This window comes from Homo sapiens, chromosome 17, assembly GCF_000001405.40.
Source record: "Homo sapiens chromosome 17, GRCh38.p14 Primary Assembly".
NCBI lineage: Eukaryota > Metazoa > Chordata > Mammalia > Primates > Hominidae > Homo > Homo sapiens.
The window spans coordinates 73,442,222-73,465,986 of record NC_000017.11 but is presented as its reverse complement, the minus strand read 5'-3'; the positions used below and the strand labels follow the sequence as shown (position 1 = coordinate 73,465,986).

At 50.2% G+C, this 23,765-nt stretch overlaps 1 protein-coding gene across 5 annotated transcripts in view; it reads left to right on the top strand.

Moving 5' to 3' along the window:
- The window catches only part of SDK2 (sidekick cell adhesion molecule 2), a 310,062-nt gene that overhangs the window by 178,459 nt on the left and 107,838 nt on the right, over nucleotides 1-23,765 (top strand). For all 5 annotated transcript variants that reach the window (XM_047436313.1, XM_011524914.3, XM_011524915.3 and 2 more), the window contains exons 4-5: nucleotides 9,934-10,081; nucleotides 18,239-18,372. In XM_047436313.1, the coding sequence (XP_047292269.1) occupies nucleotides 9,934-10,081; nucleotides 18,239-18,372 (282 nt within the window). The remainder of the gene's footprint in view (nucleotides 1-9,933; nucleotides 10,082-18,238; nucleotides 18,373-23,765) is intronic.

Genomic DNA, 23,765 nt, shown 5'->3' with positions numbered 1-23,765 from the left:
GGCCTGCTGCAGCTGCCTGTCTGCCAATCCGTCTGTCTCCTTACACACACACGCAGATGGCACACAGTTCTGAGAGAGGGTGGGGTATGGTCACTTTTCCCAAATGCCCCTCCCCTCCTTGGCTGTTCCTGTCTCCTGGGGTGACAAGGGCTTGTCCTGGGGCCCTAAGCAGCCAGTTCTCCTATCATGGAGCCAGGCTGGCCAACCCCTGGCACCCAGCCCCCTTCCCAAAGAGAACTGTGAATTGGGTTCTAATGAGAAATTAATAAGGCAGCTGTGCTAACAACTAATGATAATGGCAAAGTCGTTAAAAAAGGATTCTTTACATGTTTTTAATTACAGCAATTAAGGGGAAGTCAATAAAACATCTTCCCCCCTCCCCAGCCCCTTCCTGTCCCCACTTGGAGTCTCTTCTTTGTGTTTTTTTAAGTCACCATAAATTTCCAGCATTCAGCATGTGGGATGAATGGCTAAGAGGGTTGGGAGAGCCTTCCGGAGGTGGCAGAGGACCTCGAGCCAGCGTTTCACCACAGCCAGCGTTTCACCACATCCAGGTCCTGAGGGCACCTCTGTGTTCTCCTCACCTGGGTGAGACCTCCTGACCCCTTCCCCCAGCCCTCATCTGTGGGACTCAGACTTGAAACCATCCACTCCAGCACCAAACCCACGCACCCACCCACCCACAGCAGGGCAGAGCGCCTGCCCCATCCTGGGAGGCTGGCCAGCTTCCTTCCTACCAAGCAGCTTAGCAGCCACTCCTACAAAAGACAATTGGAGGGGAACAAGCCCGCTGTCATGTGGGTTAGGAGTAATCCTAAAATGCCACCCATAGGCCTGTTTCTCTTCATTTTCAGCCTGAGGTGTGGGTATTGAATGCAGGATGCTTAGGGGCCAAGTGACAGTTCCTGATAACATCAATGTGTCTTTCTGGAGCACTCATGTTACCTGAGTATTCAAATCACTCAGGAAACAATGATTGCTGCACACCCCCATATGCCAAGCACTGTTCCAGGCAGTGGGGACACAACGAGAGACAAAACCAAGACACACGTCTCTGCCCTCGAAGAAAGTAGCAAGAGAAACAAAAGTTAAAAGGTGAATGTATAATATATAGGTTATAGATAAGGCCCATGACAAAAACTAAAGTGTTCTAAGGAGAGATGAAGCTGGGCGAGAGGTTTGGAGGATGGGGCAGGGGTCTTATTTGATATGATGGTGGAGGGTGGCCATTGGGAGCGGGTGACATGGAATCGAGTCTCAAAGGAAGGTTGTTGGGGGTAAACCATGTAGACAGAGGAGGAGATCATTCCAGGTCAGATAGCAGGTGCAAAGGCCCTGAGGCAGATGTGGGTGTCTGAGGCCAGGTAGCTGAAGTGGAGTGGGGAAGCAGAAAGTGGAAGATGGTGAGGCTGGAAGGAGAGAACTTGGGGACAGATCCCGGCATTCTAAGCTGTGGTCAGTGCTTTGGCTGTGTATTAGCCTGTTTTCAAGCTGCTAATAAAGACATGCCCCAGACTAGGTAATTTATAAGGAAAGAGGTTTAATTGACTCACAGTTCCACATGGCTAGAGAGGCCTCACCATCATGGTGAATGAGGAGCAAAGCCACATCTTACATGGTGGCAGGCAAGAGGGCTTGTGCAGGGGAATTTCCACTCATAAAATCATCAGATCTCGTGAGAACCCACTCACTATCACGAGAACGGTATGGGGGAACCACCCCCATGATTCAATTATCTCCGCCTGGTCCTGCCCTTGACACATGGGGATTATTACAATTCAAAGTGAGATTTCGGTGGGGACACAAATCCAAACCATATCAGGATGCTACTTGGAATGAGAGAGAAGTCATGGGTGGTCGAGGGCAGAGGCATGAAGTGATCTGAAGTGAGCAGCTTTGTTTCCATGATAAACAACACATAAAACCACAACAAAGTACCATTCCGTGCCCACCAGGTTGGCAGAGACCACAGTCTAACAACACCAAGTGTTGGTGGAAACTCACATGGCTGCTGGCGTCAAGTTGGTAAATTGATACCAACTGGGGTTTATGCAAACGTTATTAGTAAAATGAATGTGTGTATAACCCCACAACCCACAATTCCATTTCTAGGCACATACCTTAGAGATTCTCTTAGCCATGTGTGAGGCTGCTCTTGGCAGGACAGCAAAGCACCAAAAACAAATGAAGCGTGATCCACAGAATTCCATCCAGCCGTGAAAATGACTCAATGAAGGGCAAGGACCAGGATGGAGCCCCCCCAAAAAAATGTTGCACAAAAATGCAAATCACGGAAGACTATATACAGGATAATCCCAGGTGTAAAATGTTTAAAAACAGAATACATTGACCACAAATTGTGTAAGTTTGCATCTCTAGGTAAGGAAACGTGAAAGGAAAGCAAAGGCACATGACCTCAATATTCAGGAGAGAAATCACCTGGTGCCGGGGAAGGGGGGAGATCCAGGGTAGGGGAAAGGTATTGTTAGTGTTCTAGGCCTTCAGCTGGGAGGTAGGTGCAGGAGTGTTTATTTTATTCTTCTGTAAACTATACATATAATTATATTTGCTCTTTTGTATGCGTGACATATTTCATGATTTTAAAATGTTTTTAAGTAAACACATAAAAGCAAGAAATATATTCTGAAGTGGAATGCACACTTTACAAGGCCTTTTAAGATATGACAAAGACATCAGGAATAATTTTCAGCACCTTCTACTGTGCCCCAGGCCTGCACTTCTTTGCTCTTGGGGGAATTTCTTGGGAATGTTGGATCAGCCCTGCAGGGCATAACACGGCGTATTAGCAAGCAGGTACCTCGGGGAGTCAGTGTGGCAAGCCCTTAACTGTTTTTGCCTTAGTGTGAGTGAGTTTTCCCAGGGGATCGTGGGGCCTCAGTCTCCGTTATCACCGTCATTGTCTCCACCCTCCCTTCTCGCCTCTAGCCTGCACTCCTGCACTGTCTGGCTGAACAGACCGCCTCTTAGCAGCCTCTTGCTGCTGTGGTTCAGTGCATACATGGCTGTGTGGGTGGGGCATACACACACACATATGTATGTATAAATACATTCACCCATGGCCTGCTCAACAAGGAACTCCCTGGGCAGATCCAAGAAGCACATTTGACAAAGTACAATGGAGAGACTGTGAGGGCCTTGGGGCCTGAGAGCCACAGTGAGGTGGGAAGATGTTGGAGTGGAGAAGTGGAGGAAAGGGGCAACTGCAGAACCTGGACCAAGGCCAGCTGTGCCCTACCTGCTTCCATCCACCTCACCATATAAACTTACGTGTATGCATACATACAACCATCCTTCCACCACATATACATGCGTGTATGCTTGCAAACATGTAGATACCTTTGTCCCACCATACAGGCACATATATGTAAACATGCATACACACAACCACCCCTCTCACCATACAAACATACATGCATACAAACATATACAACCATTCATCCCACCACACATGCATCCATACATGTAAACATGCATACATGTAAATATGCATACATATAAACATGTATGTGTGTGTGTATATATATATACCATCCCACCAAATGCATCCATATATGGACATCCACCATAAATATATTCATACATGTAAACATACATGCATACAACCATCTATTCCACCATAAAACATATACATGCATACATACAACCATCCATTCCACCACATATGCACACATGCACATAAACATACAACCATGCATCCCACCATACATACATACAGGTAAATGTACATACATACAACCATCTATCCCACCATAGACACTTGTACATACATACAACCATCCCACTATACATGTACACATATATGTAAACATACATACAACTATACATCCCACCAAACATGCATGCATGCAAACGTGCATAAACAACCATCCATCCCACCATACATGCACACGTGCATGTAAATATGCACATAAGCAACCATCTATCACATCATACAAACATACATGCATACATACATGCAACCATTATCCCATGACACATGCATACATGCATATGTAACCATCCCAATAATGCATACATGTAAACATACATACAACCATCCATTCCACCATACAGACATGTACATGCATACAAACATAGCTACATACAACCATCCATCCCACCATATAAACGTACAGGCATACAAGCAAACACAACCATCCATCCCACCATCCAAACATACATACATGTAAGCATATATACATACAACAGCCATACCACTATACAAATGTACATACATACAACCATCCATTCCTCTGCCCTTCCTCCATTCATCCACCCATCCCTCTGTCTATTCTTCCATTCTTTCCTCCATCCACCTATTCACCCATACAACCTTCCATCCCCCCATCCATCCAAACATCCATCCATCCACTGAACAAATCCATGGCACTGCCCCACTGGCCTTCTTTTATTTCCTCTGTGAACCCCTTCTCTCCTACCTCTGAGCCTTCACGTACTTCCCCTCCCATTCCCATATACACCCCTAGGGAATACCTACTCAGCTTAAGAAAAGCCTCACCTAAATCCCAGTCTGAAGTAGGTCCTCCTGCTATTCCTCTCCTGAAGAACCTCATTCCCTCCTTTTCGACAGTTGTCATAGACATCACCAAACGTTTGCTTTTGGGTTGATTTACTTATTCCTGTCTCCCTGACCAGACTGGAAGCTCCAAGAGGGCAGGCATTAGGTCTTCCTTCAGTGCCTACCCCAGAGCCTACCTGGCCCACAGTAGGGGCTCCATAGGGAAGTGGTGAATGCTGGCATTGAGTGAACTTAGAAAGTACTGTGTGCAGGGCACAGGCCCAGATGTCTTGTCAGGATTTGCTTCTGAATGTGACTGCCTCTCAAGGCTTAGCATCTATAGAAAGAGATAAAGAATGTGTATGCAGGATTGCAATGCAGGATGCGACTCAGGAAGGAGGCAGGGAGGGATGGCATGGGGAGGGCCAGGGTGAACATGGACTGAACCTGGCCCTCAGTGTTCACAGCTGCATAAGCCACTCGATCTCCATGAGCCTTCATTTCCTCACCAGCAAAATGGAGCTAATAAAACTAGAGAGGAGAAAGAAACACTATTACCATAAAATTGCTTTAAATTGTTCAAATATATCTTCTGAGTTCTGTGAAAAGTTTTTTAAGTAGATAAAATTATTTTAAGAACTGAAATCAATGTGATTCATTGATGTAATTTTTTATAGACAGAGCCAAGTAATGGAAATTAATAAACAACTAAAAACATATATTTATTTAAATTGAGATTGTCATGTTATTGTAAGGATCATGGGAAATCTACCTAGAAAGAAGTTCTTGGCAGGGTAAGTGCTCAACTGCTCTGTTTTTGAATTCTATTTGAATGGTTTTGGGTAAACTTCATTGAGGAGGTGATGTTTAAACTAAGCTGTGAAAAATATGTAGGCTTCCAATATTTTAACACTACAAATATTAGATACAATTTTTTAACACTTTTATATACTCTTCTAGTTTCTATGGCTATGTAACAAACTACCCCAAAACATAATGGTATACTGCAATCATTTATCATGTTCACAGATTCTGTGGCTCTAGAATCTGGACAGAGAATAGCAAGGGCAGCTTGACTCTATCCTGGGATGACTGAGGCCTCAGTTGAGGCTCAGTCTGGGGCTGAAGGCTGGGGCTGAAGTCCTCTCAGGGCGCACGTGTTTGTTCACATGTCCAGCGTTGGTGCTGGCTGTCATCTGACCTCAGTTCCTCTCCATGTGGGCTGCTCCCACATCTGCTTCGGCTAGATTGAGCTTCCTCACAACATGGTGACTGGATTCCAAGGGCGAGTATAGAGAGTGAGAGTCAGGTGGCAGCTGTATCGTTTCGATGACCTAGTCTCAAAAGTCACATGGCATCACTTCCTGCACATTCTACTGGTCAAATAGTCACAAGGTCCCTAGATTCAAGGGGAATTGACCTGTGCCCCATCTGTCAGTGAGAGGAATGTCCATCATACTGTAAAAAGAGTATGTGAATAGTAGCAAAATATTGATGCAGCCATCCCTGGAGAGACACAGCCTGACATACACATATCATCTCATGAAATACTCAGTACAATCTGTGAGGAAGGAGCCCTTCTTAACTCCATTTTATAGAAGAGGAAATTAAGGCTTGACAAAGTCAAAAGTTTTGTCCTAGCTGGGCACAGTGGCTTACACCTGTAATCCCAATGCTTTGGGAGACCGAGGTGAGAGCTTTAAGGCCGGAGTTCATGACCAGCCTGGGCAACATAGCGAGACTGTGTCTCTACAAAAAAAAAAAAGAAAGAAATCTACCCAGCATCATGGCTAATGAGTAATGGAACGACAGAACTAGGATTTGAAGTCAGGTCTAAAAAACTCCAAAGCCATTACCATTACACACACTGTCTACCAAGTATAGAACAAGGATGCCAGCAGCAGATTTGATCTTTTGAAACACTTAATTGACTACATCCTTCCAGGATGCTGTAGAACCATGGTGCCTTGGTGACTCTTGGCTTCCTCTGGTGGCATTCCAGGCAGTGGCCCAGCCAAAATACAGGCCGTGGGGTGGGAGGTGGCAGGACGTGGTGTGGGCATTAAGGCAAGAAAGGTTGTCTAGGGTCAGATTAGGGAAGAACCTTGAGTCCAGGCCAGGGAATTTAGACTTTCCCAGGGCAGTGAGGAGTTCCCAAAGGCTCCAAGGTCAGAAAAACTAATCAAGAACAGTGTGTAAGATGGACAGAAGGGGATCTGGAGTTGGGAGGCATATCCCAGGGTCTGTGCAGCTGGAGTAAGGCCAGCCCATTGGCAAGGCTGGAGGAACCAGAGGGACCTTGGTAAATGACAGTAATGTCCCAGAGAAGTTGAAAGGCTTGGTGGGGGCAGGGAAGGGAAGCTCCACCAAAGGCTCCAGGGGTTTGAGCTTAGGTGATTGGGTTTGCAGGGCATGAGGGGAGTTTTTTTGTCTGTTTGTTTGTTTTAGTTTTTGTTTTCTGTGAGATGGAGTTTCCCTCTTGTTGCCCCAGGCTGGAGTACAACGACCCCATCTCGGCTCACCGCAACCTCCGCCTCCCAGGTTCAAGCGATTCTCCTACCTCAGCCTCCCGAGTAGCTGGGATTACAGGCATGTGCCACCATGCTCGGCTAATTTTTGTATTATTAGTGTAGACGGGGTTTCACCATGTTGGCCAGGGTTGTCTCGAACTCCTGACCTCATGATCCGCCTGCCTCAGCCTCCCAAAGTGCTGGGATTACAGGCGTGAGCCACTGCACCCGGCCAAGGGGAGATTTTAACAGAACTTAGGATGCAAGGAGAGCTTGGCAAGGAGGTGACGGAGGGCCCTCCTTGGAGAAATGCCCAACAGACTGTTGGAAATTGGATCTCAGAGCTCAGGGCAGAGCCAGAGCAGAAGGCACAAGTGTCATTTGCAGGGAGATTGTGGTCAAACCATTAGGCCAAGTGAAGCTGCCAAGGGGCCAGCATGGCTGGAAAGAGAATCAAGACTAGGGCTTTGGAAAATGAACTTGTAGGCCCGCATTCTCAAACGATTGTGTGACAGAATCTGCAAACCAAGAGAGTGAATCAGGTACTCAGAGAGCCAGACGGGCCTTTCTGTGCCCTGGGGGATGCCTGGGAGGGAAGGAGAGTGGTGAGCACCTTTGTGAGTTTGCCAAGTCTCAGGAGATTCTGAGACCCACCCAACTCAGCCTTAGCTCACGTTGGAACTACCTGAACATCTTTAGAAATACTCAGGTCTGGTCTGGGCACAGTGGCTCACGCCTATAATCCCAACACTTTGGGAGCTCCAGACCAGCCTAGGCAACATAACAAGACCTCGTTTCTATTAAAAATAAAATTATGCAGGCATGGTGGTACACACCTGTAGTCCCAGCTACTCAGGAGGCTGAGGCGGAAGGATTGCTTGAGCCCAAGAGGTTGAAGCTGCAGTGAGCCATGATCACTCCACTGTGCTCCAGCCTGAATGATAGAGCGAGACCCTGTCTCTAAAATAATAATAATAAACAAATACTGAGGTCAGCCCACACACCCCAAAAGATTCTCACCTCTGGGAATATTAAAGGGTCCTCAAGGTTGCTAAAGTGCAGCCAGGTTGGAGAATTCCTGGTAGAAGGAGAGGAAGAAGAGTCAGTGGTCTTAGAGGAGTTGAGAAATAACACCCAATGCAGTAGGAGGGGACCCGGTAGCTTAGGATGCGGCCCCCTTGGTTAGGGAGGGATCTGCTAGGCAATGGGGAAACAAAGGCCTAAAGTCAGCAGTGTGAAATCTTTCTGCACGTGGGAATTCTGTGCACAGGTCCAGGCACATCCTAGTGATGGCTTGGGGTGATGTAGGCTGGGCACGGTGGCTCAGACCTGTAATCCCAACACTTTGGGAGGCCGAGGCGGGCGGATCACTTTAGGTCAGAAGTTCAAGACCGGCCTGGCCAACATGGCGAAACCCCATCTCTACTAAAAATACAAAAATTAGCTGGGCGTGCTGGCGGGTGCCTGTAATCCCAGCTACTCAGGAGGCTGAGGCAGGAGAATCACTTGAACCTGGGAGGCAGAGGTTGCAGTGAGCCAAGATTGTACCACTGCACTTGGCTGATTGAAGCCTGGGTTACAGAGTGAGATGAAAGAAAGAAAGAAAGAAAGAGAGGAGAGGAGAGGGGAGGGGAGGAGAGGGGAGGGGGGGAGGGGGAGGGAGGGAGGGGGGAAGGAAGGAAGGAAGGAAGGAAGGAAGGAAGGAAGGAAGGAAGGAAGGAAGGAAGGAAGGAAGAGAAAAGAAAATGGAATGATGTGAGATGTCTCCCATCCCCACACTCCACGCCAGTGAAATCAGAAGCTTTGGGGGTGAGGCTCCCATCAGCATTTTTTAATTCTACAGGTGGTTCCGACACACAGTCAAGTTTGGGACAAATAATATGCTCCTCACAGTTGAACATGGACACACTTGCCAAGCGTCTTGCTAAAATGCTGCTTCTGATCCAGCAGGTCTTGGGGGGCCTGAGACTCTGCATTTCTGACAGGTGCCCAGGTGTGGTGCCTAGGCACCTGCCCATGGGCCACAATCAAAGTAACAGGGATGTCCATTAATTTTCAAGGGTGTGGTAGAGACACAAATACCCCTTCCCAAACCCTATCTCCAAGCCTCCGTGTTGGAATTAGTCTCCCTACCCCCTTGTCCCGCCCCGGCAGGCCGGCAGGCTGGCTGAAGAGTTTCCTACCCGCGTCTCCTCTGCTCTGTGCTTACCTCCTGGCAGGCAGAGCCAGGATAAATGTTCCCCTCCTTATCTGCCAAGGCAGTGGCATGTTTTAAAAGAGCAATATGGTATTTATGTTCACACATACACACAAACTCACACACTACACACTACACACCCAAGGCGCAGGAGAGAAACGCTGTCTGCACCCATTTGCAAGCATCTAAGACCCCATTCTCTCAGCATGCCCACACTTCTCTCCCTGAAAGGGCACAGAAACCTGCCCTTCACCTCACACAGGAACCCCCGCCATGCTGAAGGGCACACTGTAGGGCAGGGGAGGAGGAGCTACATAGCCTGACTCCAGGGTTTAAGGTCCGAGTTCAAATTCTGACTCTGTCTCTTCCTAGTTAGGTGACCTTAGACAAGTTAACTAACCTCTCGGAGCCCATTTGAGCAGTTTTTTCCATTGTAAAATGTGTGAAATGATGACCAACCTCTCAGGGTGGTTGAACGAACTGGCCGATTGAAGGATATAGGGATATGAATGGAGACAGTAGCTTAGGGCAGGGTGCTAGTGGTGAGGCAGAGAATGGGGTGGCCCGAGCAAGGTGTCCTCCTTCCCTGTGGTCATCCTGTCTGCCCCGAATTTTCCGTCCATAGCCACCACTCCCAACCTGGGAGCTGGGCAGTCCCTGAGGCTGACCTCCCGCCCCTGATCCTACTGCCGTTGTCCCGGCTGCAGACATGGGGAGCTTTGAGGAAGGTGAGAAGCACCAGAGCGTCTCCCACGGAGAAGCAGCTGTCATCCGTGCCCCGCGCATCGCCAGCTTCCCCCAGCCACAGGTGACCTGGTTCCGGGACGGCCGCAAGATCCCGCCCAGCAGCCGCATGTGAGTGCATCGCTCTGAGGGGACGGGGAGGGGAGGGGTGTCTGGGGGAGGAGGTTTGGGGCCAGATAAAGTCTCCCTTGAGTGTGGAGGAGGGCCTTTGTGCAGAAGCCCCTTTCAGCTCCTGTGGGACACAGCCAGGTAGGGGACCTCCCAGGGGCTTTCTTAGGATGCACAGGCAAGGACTTGGGACCATGAAACCCATGCCCGGTCCCCTTCCTGGGGAATCCCAGGGCGTTGCCTCCACCATCAGCTGGAGAATAAATCTGCTTTTCAGAGCACTTAAAAAACCCAAACAGGCATATACGAAGGCGCTGTCACCGTGGTTACAGGCCCAGGACTCAGGCCAGTGGCGCTGGGGGACCTTGGAGAGGCTGGCGTCTCCTGGGCAGCCGGGAGGCCCTGGGCGCGTCCGTTGGCAGGGTGTTTACTGGTGTGTGAGGGCTGTGTGTGTCTTGGCTGTGCGGCGGAGGTGTGGCCAGGGAAGCCCTGGGCAGAGAAACACACAGGCCTCTGAGTGTTCACAAGGCCGTCTCTGTGTGCCCCCTGGGATTGGCTGGGGCAGCCCAGCCTGTGGGCAGGAGGATGGAGCCAACACCCCACACCTCCGCAGAAGGCGAGCAACAAAGCAGTTCCTCCCGAGATACACCCGTCTCCCCGCCCTCCTGAGCCACCCCCGGGTCTGGAGGCAGCTGGGGCTCTCCTCTTTCCAACTCCAGCTCTCCCCTGCTTCCAGAAGACCACCTTCTGATCTACCCAGGCTGCGTGTACACAGGACTGAGCCTGTCCTGGTCTCTGTAGAGAGTGGAGGCGTAGATGGATGGTTCCTGCCTTTGGGGAGCATTAAGTCTAGTTGGGGGAAGGAAGCATAGTAACAATAACAATAATAATAATATCACTATCACAGGCCGGACGCGGCGGCTCACACCTGTGATCCCAGCACTTTGGGAGACTGAGGTGGACTGATCACTTGAGGTCAGGAGTTGAGACCAGCCTGAGCAACGTGGCAAAACCCTGTCTCTACTAAAAATACAAAAATTAGCTGGGCATGGTGGCAGGTGCCTGTAATCCCAGCTACTCAGGAGGCTGAGGCAGGAGAATCGCTTGAACCTGGGAGTCAGAGGTTGCAGTGAGCCGAGATCGGGCCACTGCACTCCAGCCTCCAGCCTCCAGACAAAACCAGACTCCATCTCAAATAATGATAATATCACCATCATCATAATAGCAGCTGCCGTTTATTGAATGGCTGCTATGTCCTGAGGACTGAGCTAAGCACACCACACACATCCCCTCTCTTTCCGGACAGCCACACTCTGTGAGGAAGAAGATGCTCTCAATCTCGTTCTCCTTCCAGTCCGCAGAGCACCTGCAGAAAGGAGGCGTTGTTGAATGAATGACCCTCACAACAACCCGGTGAGGTGCTGGGTTTCTCCCCGTTTTACAGGCAATCAAGTGAAGTTCCCAAAAGTTTAACTACTTTGCCAAATCTCACACAGCTGGTCAGCACTGGAGCTGCATCCAGCCCTGCCAACTCCGGAGTCAGGTTCTTTAATTCTTGTATTATGTGAAAAGTGCCTGAAAACAGGTTCACAGACTCGATGAAAAGATAGTGTTTGTGGGGAACAAGCCCTGTGGAGTATCTCAACGTAGCTACCTGTTGAAATCATTTGGGAGTTTGGGGATACAGTCATGTGTTGCTTAATGGCAGAGATACATTCTGAGAAATGTGTCATTTGGCTGTTTCATTGTTGTGTGAACACACACCTAGATGGTGCAGCCTACTACACACCCAGGATGTATGGTGTAGTCCATTGCTCCTAGGCTATAAACCTGTACAGCATGTTACTGTACTGTAGGCAATTGTAACACAATGGTAAGTATTTGTATAAATAAACATATCTAAATATAGGAAAGGTACCACAAAAATATGGTGTAAAAGATTTTTTTAATGGCACACCTGTATAAGGTAGTTTCATTATAATCTTATAGAACCAGCATCATATATGTGGTCTGTTTTTGACTGAAACATTATGCAGTGCGTGACTGTGTACTGATCCTTGGGCTCTATCCTAAGACTCTCTGACTTAATTGAAATGGGATGGAATTTGAGCATCAGAAATTTTAAAAGCTCCCCAGGTGGTTCTAATGTGAAGCCAGGGTTAAGAACCACCATGCTAGTATGTATCAGCTACCCACAGCCACAGATATGCTGCGTAACAAAACAGCTCAGTGGGCCAGGTGCAGTGGCTCATGCCTGTAATCTCAGCACTTTCAGAGGCCAAGCTGGGCAGATCACATGAGGTCAGGAGTTCAAGACCAGCCTGGCCAACCTGGCAAAATCCCATCTCTACTAAAAATACAAAATTAGCCAGGGATGGTGGCACATGCCTATAGTCCCAGCTGCTCAGGAGGCTGAGACAGGAGAATCGCTTGAACCTGGGAGGCAGAGGCTGCAGTGAGCCAAGATTGCACCACTGCACTCTAGCCTGGGTGACAAGAGCAAGACTCCATCTCAAAAAAAAAGAAAAAAAAAAAAAACCCCAGCTCAGTGGCTTAGAGCAATACACATTTCTTTTTCTTGTGAGTCTGCAGGCTGGTGATTTAGGCTGGGCTTGGCTGGGTGGTTCTTCTGGTCTTGGCTGGGCTCTCTCACTTGTCTGGGACTGGCTGACTTGTCTGGGTGACTGGGGTGACTTGGCTGTGCTGCACAGGAACATACACTTTTCCAGCTTCTGCTAACATCCCATGTGCCAAAGCAAGAACATGGCAGAACTCAGAATCAAGATGTAGGAAAATAGACTCTGTTCCTTGAGCAGCAGGACCTGCAAAGTCACGGGACAAAGAGTGTGGATACAGAGCAGGGTGAAGAATTGGAGTGGCACCCCAGGTTAACAGGGGACTCATGCTGTGTGAGTCAGAGTGTGCCCTCTTAGGCCTAACTTAATGCTCAATAAAACCAGCAGAGAATGGTTCTTAGCATGGATGTTTCTTAGCGTGGATGTTGAGATTTTGCTGTGGAAGGGGAATGCTCTCCACACAGGTTTTGGGACAAGTAGACGAGTCCCAGCCCCATCCCAGCTCCCTTTCTGAGGTTATTTCCCATGGCCTATTGCAAGCCAATCAATTGGTAGTGGCTGCCTGGAACACTGTGTTGAGAAGGATTCTGATGTCCCATCTAGACTCATTAGAATGAATATCATGATTGATTAGCAATGTCTGCCATGGCTGCATGAGGGGTGTGCTGGCACTTTCCTGCTACATTTGTTGTGGTGGGTGAAACCCTTTCTACAACCTACTCCCATCATCCCTTTCCTAACACCTCTTCACCTCCTTTTCTCATTCCAAGCCTCTGTCCTCATCCTCTTTTAATTCCCACAACCCTGTGGCACCAGGACAGAACACCCTGGCCTGCACACACATGCATACCTCCCTGGTCACACACACCCCCAGCCCCTGCACACCACCGCAATATTCCTACCACCTACATGATAGAACACTCTGGGGGTTTTATCCTGGCAATTACAGCAAATTAATATTCATAAGTGAGCAGAAAAGGTCCCTGGCAGCAAATTCCCTGGTGTCTGTGTGTCAGAGATACACATCTGATGAGTGCTATCTGCCAGAGGGGTGTGCAGGGCACAGAAGGCGCTGCTATCTACAGAGAGCCGCTCTCACTGGTGGGGCAAGAGCAGAGATTAGCACCACCTCATGCATGCCCCGGTGCTCATTGTTGCAAAGGAGACAAGATTCCTCATAAAGATGCATGCTGGGGGCTTTGGACACATTCTAGGATAATTTATTTCATGCATAATTAAATTATCAATGGGGGCTGCAGGGAGCTGAGAAAAATGGCCTGGATTAACAGGAGCAGTGGGGGGAAGGGAGGGCAGGGCTGGGCCAATCAGAGCCATAGCAAAAGCCTAGTACATTGAAACCAGGGGGTGTGGCTGAAAAATGGAATCCAGCCCCTGCCCAAGAGTTGAATTCTGCTGTCTGTGTCCCCCAAGAATTCTTCCTCCAGCTTCTTTCCATCTGGGTTGCCTCTGGGGTGCAGTGCTGCAGGTTGGAAGCCCTCCTGAGTGCCAGGAAGAGCACCCAGTACAGTACAGTACAGCATCATCCCAGGAATGTCTATCAACGAGATGGACATTCTGGAGAGAGCCACAAGCCCAGGGACCTTCCTTCACTGCCTTTGGGGGTCGCAGAGAGGGCAAGTCAAAAGGTATCTCTGCCTCCTGTTCCACTCTGTGTTTAAGACTTGAACTCAGGCCCTGGGGGTCCCAGTCCAGGGTGCTTCCCTCCAGGCACTAGTTAAAGCAGAGCCCAAAATCTCAGTGACTTCACACCATAGAAGTTGAGTTCTTGCCCATTTATTGTTGTTGTTTTTGTTTATGTTTTTGTTTTGAGATGGATTTTCGCTCTTGATGCTCAGGCTGGAGTGCAATGGCACGATCTCAGCTCACTGCAACCTCTGCCTCCTGAGTTCAAGCAATTCTCCTGCCTCAGCCTCCAGTAGCTGGGATTACAGGCATGCACCACCACATCTGGCTAATTTTGTATTTTTAGTAGATACAGGGTTTTACCATGTTGATCAGGCTGGTCTTGAACTCTTGACCTCAGGCGTTCCACCTGCCTCAGCCTCCCAAACTGCTGGGATGACAGGCATGAGCCACCGTGCCCAGCCCCATTTAAAGTCCTACCATGATGAGAGGCAGGAGTTTTGCCATCATCAGCACACAACCTTCCAAGTTGTCCTGCTCTGCCAGAGAGAAAGGGGGCAGACATGAGGATCGCGCAGGAGGCGCTCATGGTCCAAGCTTAGCAACGGTGCACATCCCTTCCTCCATATCCCACTAGTTCAGCCTCACTGCCCCACCTGGATGCAAGCAGAGATGCAAAGTCTGTCTCTGGCTTCCCAGCCACTGCAGTCCATGACACAAGGGAAGCCTGAGACTGAGGTGGGCAGCGGCCATCTCTGCCATCTTAATATACACTCTACCTAGGACAGACCATGTCAGGCATGGCGCTCTTGACATCTGGGGCCTGATCACTCTTCCCTGTGAGGGCCTTCCTGTGCACCACGGGATGCGTGCTTAACAACACCCCCGGCCTTGACCCCTATTGTTAGTGGCGCTCCCCGAGCTGGCAACCAAAAGTTGTCCAGACATTGTCATCCCTGGAGGGCAAAGTCAACCCTGGTTGAGAACCACTGACCCAGAAAGCTTGATCATGATATAGACAAAATACAGTGAAAGGAGCCTTCCTGATCAAGAAAGAGATGAAATTGGAGGTGGGAGCCTTCTTGGAGACCAAAAGGGTCCTAAGACAGGTGGGTGAACTGGAACGTGGGCCAAGCTGTGCCCAGTGTGCCCACTGGAGGCTTGAAGCTGCTTCTATGATAGTCATGGATGTGGCGTGGCTGGGGGAGCTGGGCCGGCATGGTCCCGGCACATAGTGCTCATGAAAATCCTGTCAGCCCTGAAGCTGGCCATGTCCCGGTCTGCGGGGTGGGAAGAGACAGGTGGCGGGCTGCAGGGCTATCTTGGGCCTAATGAGGAAACAACAGAAGCAGCAACAGGAATCAGAATCCTTCAACCTCTGGGCTGGAAGAAATCTCACAGAATACCTGCTTCCACCCCTGCACAGAGGAGGAAACTGAGGCCCAGCAAGGAGGAAGCTGCATGCCCTTTAGAGGCTAGGGCCAGAGCTCCATTCCAGAGCTCACCCCGTGCCCCAGCCAGAGCCCTGCACGGGGAGGACCCCTCCTCCAACTCTCAGCCACCCTCACATGCTATACCTAAGGACAAGTCCCTGCAGGAAACTCTCAGGTGGGAAAATGACCACTATCCCTGTCTTATTTTAAGCTTTTGAAATATTTTCGCCTGGCTCTGGCCCCACCTCCTATTGCCTCATTAGCTGGAGGTTAAAAGGACTCTCCTGTTTTTTGTTTCTTGTTTTTTTGTTTGTTTGTTTGTTTTGTTTTTTTGAGATGGAGTTTCGCTCTGTTGCTCAGGCTGGAGTGCAACGGTGCGACCTCGGCTGGCCGCAACCTCTGCCTCCCAGGTTCAAGCGATTTTCCTGCCTCAGCCTCCCGAGTAGCTGGGATTACAGGCATGCACCACCACCACACCCGGCTAATTTTGTATTTTTAGTAGAGACAGGGTTTCTCCATATTGGTCAGTATGGTCTCGAACCCCCGACCTCAGGTGATCCACCTACTTCAGCCTCCCAAAATGCTGGGATTACAGGCGTGAGCCACTGTGCCCAGCCAAGAGCTCTCCAGAAAAAAAAAAAAAAAAAAAAAAAGAGGTGGGGGGGCATCATTAGGGTACCCAGGAATTGGGGGCAGGAGGGCTTGGCTTCCTGCTTCCCAGAGCTGTGCCAAGAGTGTGATTCTCAGCATGTGAAGCACCAAAACCAGGAGAGAGTGGGGCGAAAACCAGCACAGCCGGGCTGGGAGAGTGCTGGGCTGGAGAAGCATTAGTGGGGATGTTTATTTGAGAGCCTGTTTAAAACTCTGTAACATTCACCTAATGGGAAAATTTGAAAAGAATTCAACTGGATTTGTCCTTGTTAAACTAACATTAAGGATGTTTAACAGCTGTCTCAGGCCCATCGCATTAAAATCCAGAGATATACTTGACAAACTAATGGCTTTGTTTGTCATTGGGAGAATGGGTGGAGGGAGGAAGAGCCGGTGTGGGTGGCGCTTCTGGCTCCATTGCACCCACATTCCATGGAGCCTCCAGCTTCCTGCTTGGACAAGCCCCTTTTCCCTGCCAGAAGACCTGGCCTGAGAAGGGGCTGCATGATGGGATCCCAGCAAAGGAAACCAGCTGAGGTAAACAGCCCATCACCACACCCCAAAACACACCAGCCTCTTTTTCCCTCCTAACCAGCCCACCTAGTCCCACTCTTGGTTATGAGCTTCAAAGAGGTAGAAACTCCAGCTGGGTACAGTGGCTCACACCTGTAATCCCAGTACTTTGAGAGGCCAAGGCAGGCAGATCACTTGAGGTCAGGAGTTTGAGACCAGCCTGGCCAACATAGCAAAACCCTGTCTTTACTAAAAATATAAGAATTAGCCGGGTGTGGTGGCATGCACCTGTAATCCCAGCTACTCAGGAGGCTGAGGCAGGAAAATCACTTGAACCGGGAAGGCGGAGGTTGCAGTAAGCCAAGATCGTACCATTGCACTTCAGCCTGGGTAACAAGAGCAAAACTCTGTCTCAAAAAAAAAAAAAAGACTGGGCACAGTGGCTCACGCCTGTAATCCCAACACTTTCGGAGGCCAAGGCGGGCAGATCACAAGGTCAGGAGATCGAGACCATCCTGGCTAACAAAGTGAAACCCTGTCCCTACTAAAAATACAAAAAATTAGCCAGGGGTAGTGGCGCGCACCTGTAGTCCTAGCTACTCGGGAGGCTGAGGCAGGAGAATCGCTTGAACCCGGGAGGCAGAGGCTGCAGTGAGCCAAGATCATGCCACTGTACTCCAGCCTGGGCAACAGATCGAGACTGTCTCAAAAAAAAAAGAGGTAGAAACTGATACCCAGAAAGGGGACTGAAGGGAGACAGGACTTCCAGAAGTTGATGTCACCAGGTGACCTGTGGCCTTTGAGTCCATCAATCCTGAACAGATTTAGGATTAGGGTTAAGGCATGGACTCTGGAATGGCCCTGCATTTCTAAATTCATTAGCATTCATTTGTCATTTACTTATTCATTCACCGACATTCACTAATCCATGCTGAGAACATTTCTTCAGTGTCTGGATGTACATCATGCAGAAATAACCACACACAGCCATGGAGGCTGTGACCTGGGAAAGGGCAGAATTCCAAGGGGATACCTGGAAGCCCCTTGCCCAGTCTTGGGGTAGGGGCCAGGGAAGCTTCCTTTGGGTGGCCTCGGCGTCTGGGCATGAACGTGCTGTCTCTGGGTCTGGTTGACAGCATCAGCACCGTGTTTAGCATTCTCTGCAAACTAAACGTGGCGGGATGTAGGCAGTAAGAGGTTGGGGAGGGGGTGGCAGGAGGGGCCCTGGGAGGCTGGGGACTGGGAGATATGGTCGGGCTTCCCCCTTAGGGTTTCCACTCCCACTCCCTGGAGGTTCAGAGCCCCTTAGGCCCCTGTCAGAGGAATCCTTTTCCTCTTCCCAGAGCCATCACGCTGGAGAACACCCTTGTCATCCTGTCAACGGTGGCCCCTGACGCAGGTCGCTACTATGTGCAGGCTGTTAACGACAAAAACGGGGATAACAAGACCAGCCAGCCCATCACGCTCACCGTGGAGAGTAAGTACGCACAGGGCCGGGACCGATCTTGGAGCGGGCCATTAAATCTTAGCAATGGTGCTCCAGGGGATCATTGGGAAGATGGAGTGGCAGAGGAGGGGGACAGGGAAGCTAGGGGACGGCCGGGGGGAGCCTTCCCAAGGAGGACGAGACACAGCAGAGCCAGGGGTGCCTGGGCAGGAAAGGAGCAGCTGAACGCTGGAGCCCGTTCCCATGACACGCCTGAGATCCTGCATCGGTAGAGAGGATGCTTAGCACAACTGTTAGCAGGGCTACCAGGGACCCAGGGAGGGGTGGGGCAGAGGAAGAGCGTGTGCATGTGTGAGTTGCAGCCACTATCGGGGCTCAGATGCTGACCAGGAGGGCATGTGGGTGATTGCAGGGCTGAAGCTTGTTTTTACAGAAATATACTAACTGTCTCTACTTGGCTGTCACATAAGAAGTGCTGTCTATATTGGGAGCCAGGTGGTCCCTGCTGATGGGAAGACAGGCCCTCTGCCCAGGCACCCACCTAAAACACCTCCATCCTCAGACACCTCCAGCTCCCTGGGCGAAAAGGGCAAAGCCCTCCCTAGAACTCACCACACAGTGAGACACACACAAAAGCGTGATTCCCTTGGTGTGCTTTGGCAAAGAGACGCTTGTCCAGCCGAGACTGAAGCCAGTTTTCTTTGGAGGGACGAGATGCTGGGATGTTCTTTCTGGCCTGGTTCTCCCTACTGGACGAGCCCCTCCCTCCATACTCCATTCCCAAGACAGAGAAGGAGGGAGGGGTGGACAGCCCAGGAGCAGCGTAGGCCCAAATCCCAGAGTATGTGGGGCGAGGCCAGAGCTTCCTCCTCAGCAGCAGCTGAGCCATCACACAAGCTGGGGGAGGCAGATGTTCACCTCCCTCCACATCTGTACAACTCCTGCTCCCAAAGTAAGCCTCATTTATCATCCTTGGTCACGATGGTACTTGCCCACCAGCGGCAAGATGAGGGTGTGGACCAGCCTGGGGCCTTTCTGTGCTCTTATTCTGATCCTAGCCTCTGCTGTCCATGTCCAGAGGGCCCAGGACATTCCCAGGCCTTGCCATCCCCATTCCAGGGCCTTTCACACTTCAGCAGGAACCGCTTCCCATTATCCCAGGGATCTCCTTCCCCTACTCAGCATCCAGTCTGCCTAGAAGGAAATCTGAATGCGGGGAGGAGAGTTTCATTCTGGAGACTGACCCATCGGCGTCACAAGTATATCTGGAGACTGACCGTCAGGGTTGAGGGTGTAACCTCTGACATCGAGTCAGGGTCTCAGTCAAGTCTCAGCAGCCTGGGCCCCAGCCCATACCCTGGGGCTGCTGTTTCTATAGGAGAAGGGAATTTAGTCATCAAAGAGAGATGCTTCTCCCCATATATTTTCTAGTGATCAGATTCCCTGGAGTCTCATGGAATCCCGTCATTTGGTAAGAGACAATGTCAAAGACACAGGAGTGGTTCATGGTCCAAGTCAAAGCCAGGCATCCTCCTAGGTGACTCAGTTTACCCTGAGACAGAGTCGGGGCCTTCCTGTCTGTTCCCCTTCTCCGGCATCCAGCTCCTCCTCATAGGCGTTAAACTAGGCTACTCTTCTTGTCTGACTTTGGGAGTCATTCGCTCTCTGCTCCATCCCAAACCACCCAACCCTCCAGCTGGCCCCAGGGAGGTGGGCAGGTCACCTCTGACCCCCTGTACCCACCCAAGCCCTGCCTAGTCACCTGCTTCTCCCACCCCACTGCCTCTTGGCCTCCTGCCATCACACGCTGATTTATCCTGAATTCAGAGCAGAATCCGCTGATTTTTAGCTAATTTCTCTTTCCACAAGTGACTGCACTTGAAAACCCTCTTCCTCTCTGTGACACAAATCCCCAGCCTGCCTGCCTGCCTGCCTGCCTGCCTGCCAACCAATTTGTGAGGAGCAATTGACGCTTCGCCCACCACCAGCACCAGCTCCCCTCATTCCTCTCCTGGGCCTCACCCCTCCGTCTGCTCTCCCCTCCGCACCGCTTCCTCCATCCCTCCTGGACTCCAGGAAGTCCAGCTTTCTGCACCTCTTTATAGGGACCCTATGCTCTTCAGAACCAGAGAAGGAAAGAGCAAGTCTGGTGACCCCAGAAGTTGCCCCCTGCTCAGGATAACCCTGGTGACCTCATTCGGACTGTCACAGCTCCTGAAAACCCCATGCTTGGGTGGATACCGGGGATCAGGGCTACACTGTCGAAAGGAAATAGAATGTGAACCACATGCGAAATTTTAAATTTTCCAGTAGCCCCATTTTTTTACCAAGTAAAAAGAAATCGTTGACATTCATTTTATTACTCTATTTTATTTAACCCAACATAACAAGAAGTTATCTTTTTAACATACAATCAATGTAAAGAATATTAATGGGATATCTTCCATTGGTTTTTTGCATACTAAGTCTTTGAAATCCTTGTGTATTTTACGCTTATATCACATCTCAATCTGGATGTGAAATTTTCACCCGAAATACGTGATCTGTATTTAGATTTCACAAAATTTATAGCTGAAAAGTAGAGTCGTATGCATAAGTTGTTCCGTACATGCTTAAAAGTGTTCTAATAACTGAATTGGGGATCCATTCTTAATTAAATGTAAATTAGTTAAAATTAAATCACATTAAATCAAAGGGACACCAGCCACATTGCAGGAGCTCATAGGCACGTGTGGCTCATGGCCCCTGCATTGGGTGGTTCAGGTCACAGGGCCTGGATACCCTGGCTCCTGGGCAGCTGGAGAACAGGCATCCCAGAAGCCTGCCCAAGAGAGGGGAGCAGCTCACACCCCTGCCCCACCGCTCACCGACCTGTGGCCCAGGCGAGTCCCATGGTCCCTGAGCCTCAGTTTCCCCATCTGTAAACTGGTGCCTATGGCAAAGTTGGGAGGACTAAATGAGGTGGCACAGGTGGGTCACATGGTCTCTGAGCCTCAGTTTCCCCATCTGTAAATTGGTGCCTATGGCAAAAATGGGAGGATTCAATGAGGTGATTCAGGGAGGATGGATCACGTTAGATGTCCCTTGTCCTGGCTGTTACGCAAAGCGTCTGGGGCAGTGAGATCCAGTGAGGCCCCCCGTGTGGGGAGCCCCGTACACTTCCTCCCACCCCAGGGCCCACCCTATGCCAGGAGCTCACCGGGAAGACACCCCTCCTCTTTGCTCGGGCTCACCTGTGATTTTCATGGTCTGGCCTTTGGAGCCCCATTTACCCCAATAACCCACTTGTGCTGGGGTGACCTTCATTAACAGTAAATCTGCTCCAGGACTCACTTCTCTGAGACCCACTCAACTCCCGCTGTCTCCCAGGGAGCCACGCCATGAAATGCCTGAGGCCTTGCCCGGTACCCTGCAGGGCTTAATGTGCGTCCCCGAGCCTGCGACTCCCACCTCTCCATAGCCTCTGAGTCTGTCACTTGGACTAGGGCTAGCAGGGAGAGCTCTTCCCTGCACAGGCAGGCAAATCTCCAGGAGGGGAGGCTGTCATTTATTGAGCACCTACTGTGTACCAGGCACTCTGCAGTCACCCCAGACCAGCTTAGCTGCCCCCTTCCCGGCAACCATCACACGCTCTTTCATTCATTAACCCCACGAGCATTGGTTCGACTTCCTCTGGGACATCACCCTCCATGAGGACAGACCCTGGCCATCTCGCTTGGTGGAGAATCTCTGGTGCCTGGAACACAGCCTGGCACGTGTCAAGCATTCACCTAGGAAAGATTTGTTGAGCTGGGGCCTGAATTCATACAACCCTGAGAGGTAGTGACTTTCATCCCCATTTCCCCCCTGAGAAGACTGAAACTCAGTAGGATGAAGTCACCAGGATACCTGGGGGCAGAGCTAGGCTTTGAGCCCAGGTCTTCCTCACCCCTGGGACCCTTTCTCACTGTGCCAGCATCCCTGGCCACCTCAGCCCCCATCGAGCCCTGCAGGCTGCCACCTGGGCCTGAGCACATGGCCATCTCTCCTCCATTCCTTCCAGAGCCAACGAGCCAGCCCTGAGCCCTGGGGCAGCCCTCGTATTTTTAAACTCAGAACTCGCCTTCCTTGAGGTCTCCCTGTTTACCTGGCTGTGCCATGCGGCGCTCTGGCTTGGGCTCTAACTGTCTGTCTCTTACTTGTGCCCCATTAATCTGAGCCGTGGTACCTGCGCGCCCCCGCATGTAATAAACAACTTAGAGCACACTTTTATGGATTCAGCTATATCAGCAGCTTTCAATCCGATCGCTCGTTATGGCACCTACATGAGGCTTTTATATTGTTGCAATTATTTTGCTTTATATGCTTCCTTTCTTTCCCCCTTCATTTTACTTTATTTTTTACATTTTATGCGCATTCTTCCTGGGCCTTTTCTAGCAAGGCCTGGAGTCAAGGAAGGAAAACCTGCCCAGGGCTGACAAGGTGGCCCAGAGGGGCAGTGGGGCCACTGTGCACCCTGCCCCTAACCCCATAAAGAACAGCCTGTCACTGTCACCGCAGGGCCCAGCATGTCATCATGGCCTACTACCTCCAGAACCTTCTGGAAAGGGGCCAACTGGATAGATTTGTTGTGGAGAAAAAGTCCTCAGAGGTTGTATTTTCAGGAGCCATGGATCAGGCATACACAGAATATTGGAGTTTATGCCAATATCGGGCCTACACTGACCCATCAAGATGAAAATCTGGCCTCTACTTTAAAAAAAAAAACTCAAAATATAAAAAAAAGGAATTGCTACCACCTCTATTAGAAGAGGAGTTTGGAGTGTTTCTCTCTCTTTTTTTTTTTCCAATAAAACCCACTTACAGGAAGTTCTTGTTCATTTCAATCATCGACCCTGGGAGTTGGATGATGGTAACTCTAGATCCATTCATTTGTTCACTTAACACACGTATTTGAGCACTTACTGTGTGCCAGGCATCCTTCTTCGTGCTGGAGGAGAGGTGGTCGTCAAGACCGCAGGAGTTGGCCAGGCGTGGTGGCTCACACCCATAATCCCAGCACTTTGGGAGGCCGAGGCGGGTGGATCATCTGAGGTCAGAAGTTCAAGACCAGCCTGGCCAACATAGTGAAACCCCGTCTCTACTAAAAATACAAAAATTAGCCGGACGTGGTGGTGGCACCTGTCATCCCAGCTACTTGGGAGGCTGAGGCAGGAGAATCACTTGAACCTGGGAGGCAGAGGTTGTGGTGAGCCGAGATCGTGCCACTGCACTCCAGCCTGGGCAACAGAGCCAGACTCCGTCCAAAAAAAAAAAAGACTGCATGAGTCAGCTCTTGGTGCCATAACAAAGCACCACAGCTGGGGGCTTACAAAGCAAATGTTCTGGCTCCCACCATCCTGGAGGCTGGAAGTCCCAGATTGGGAAGCCAGTATGGTCAGCTT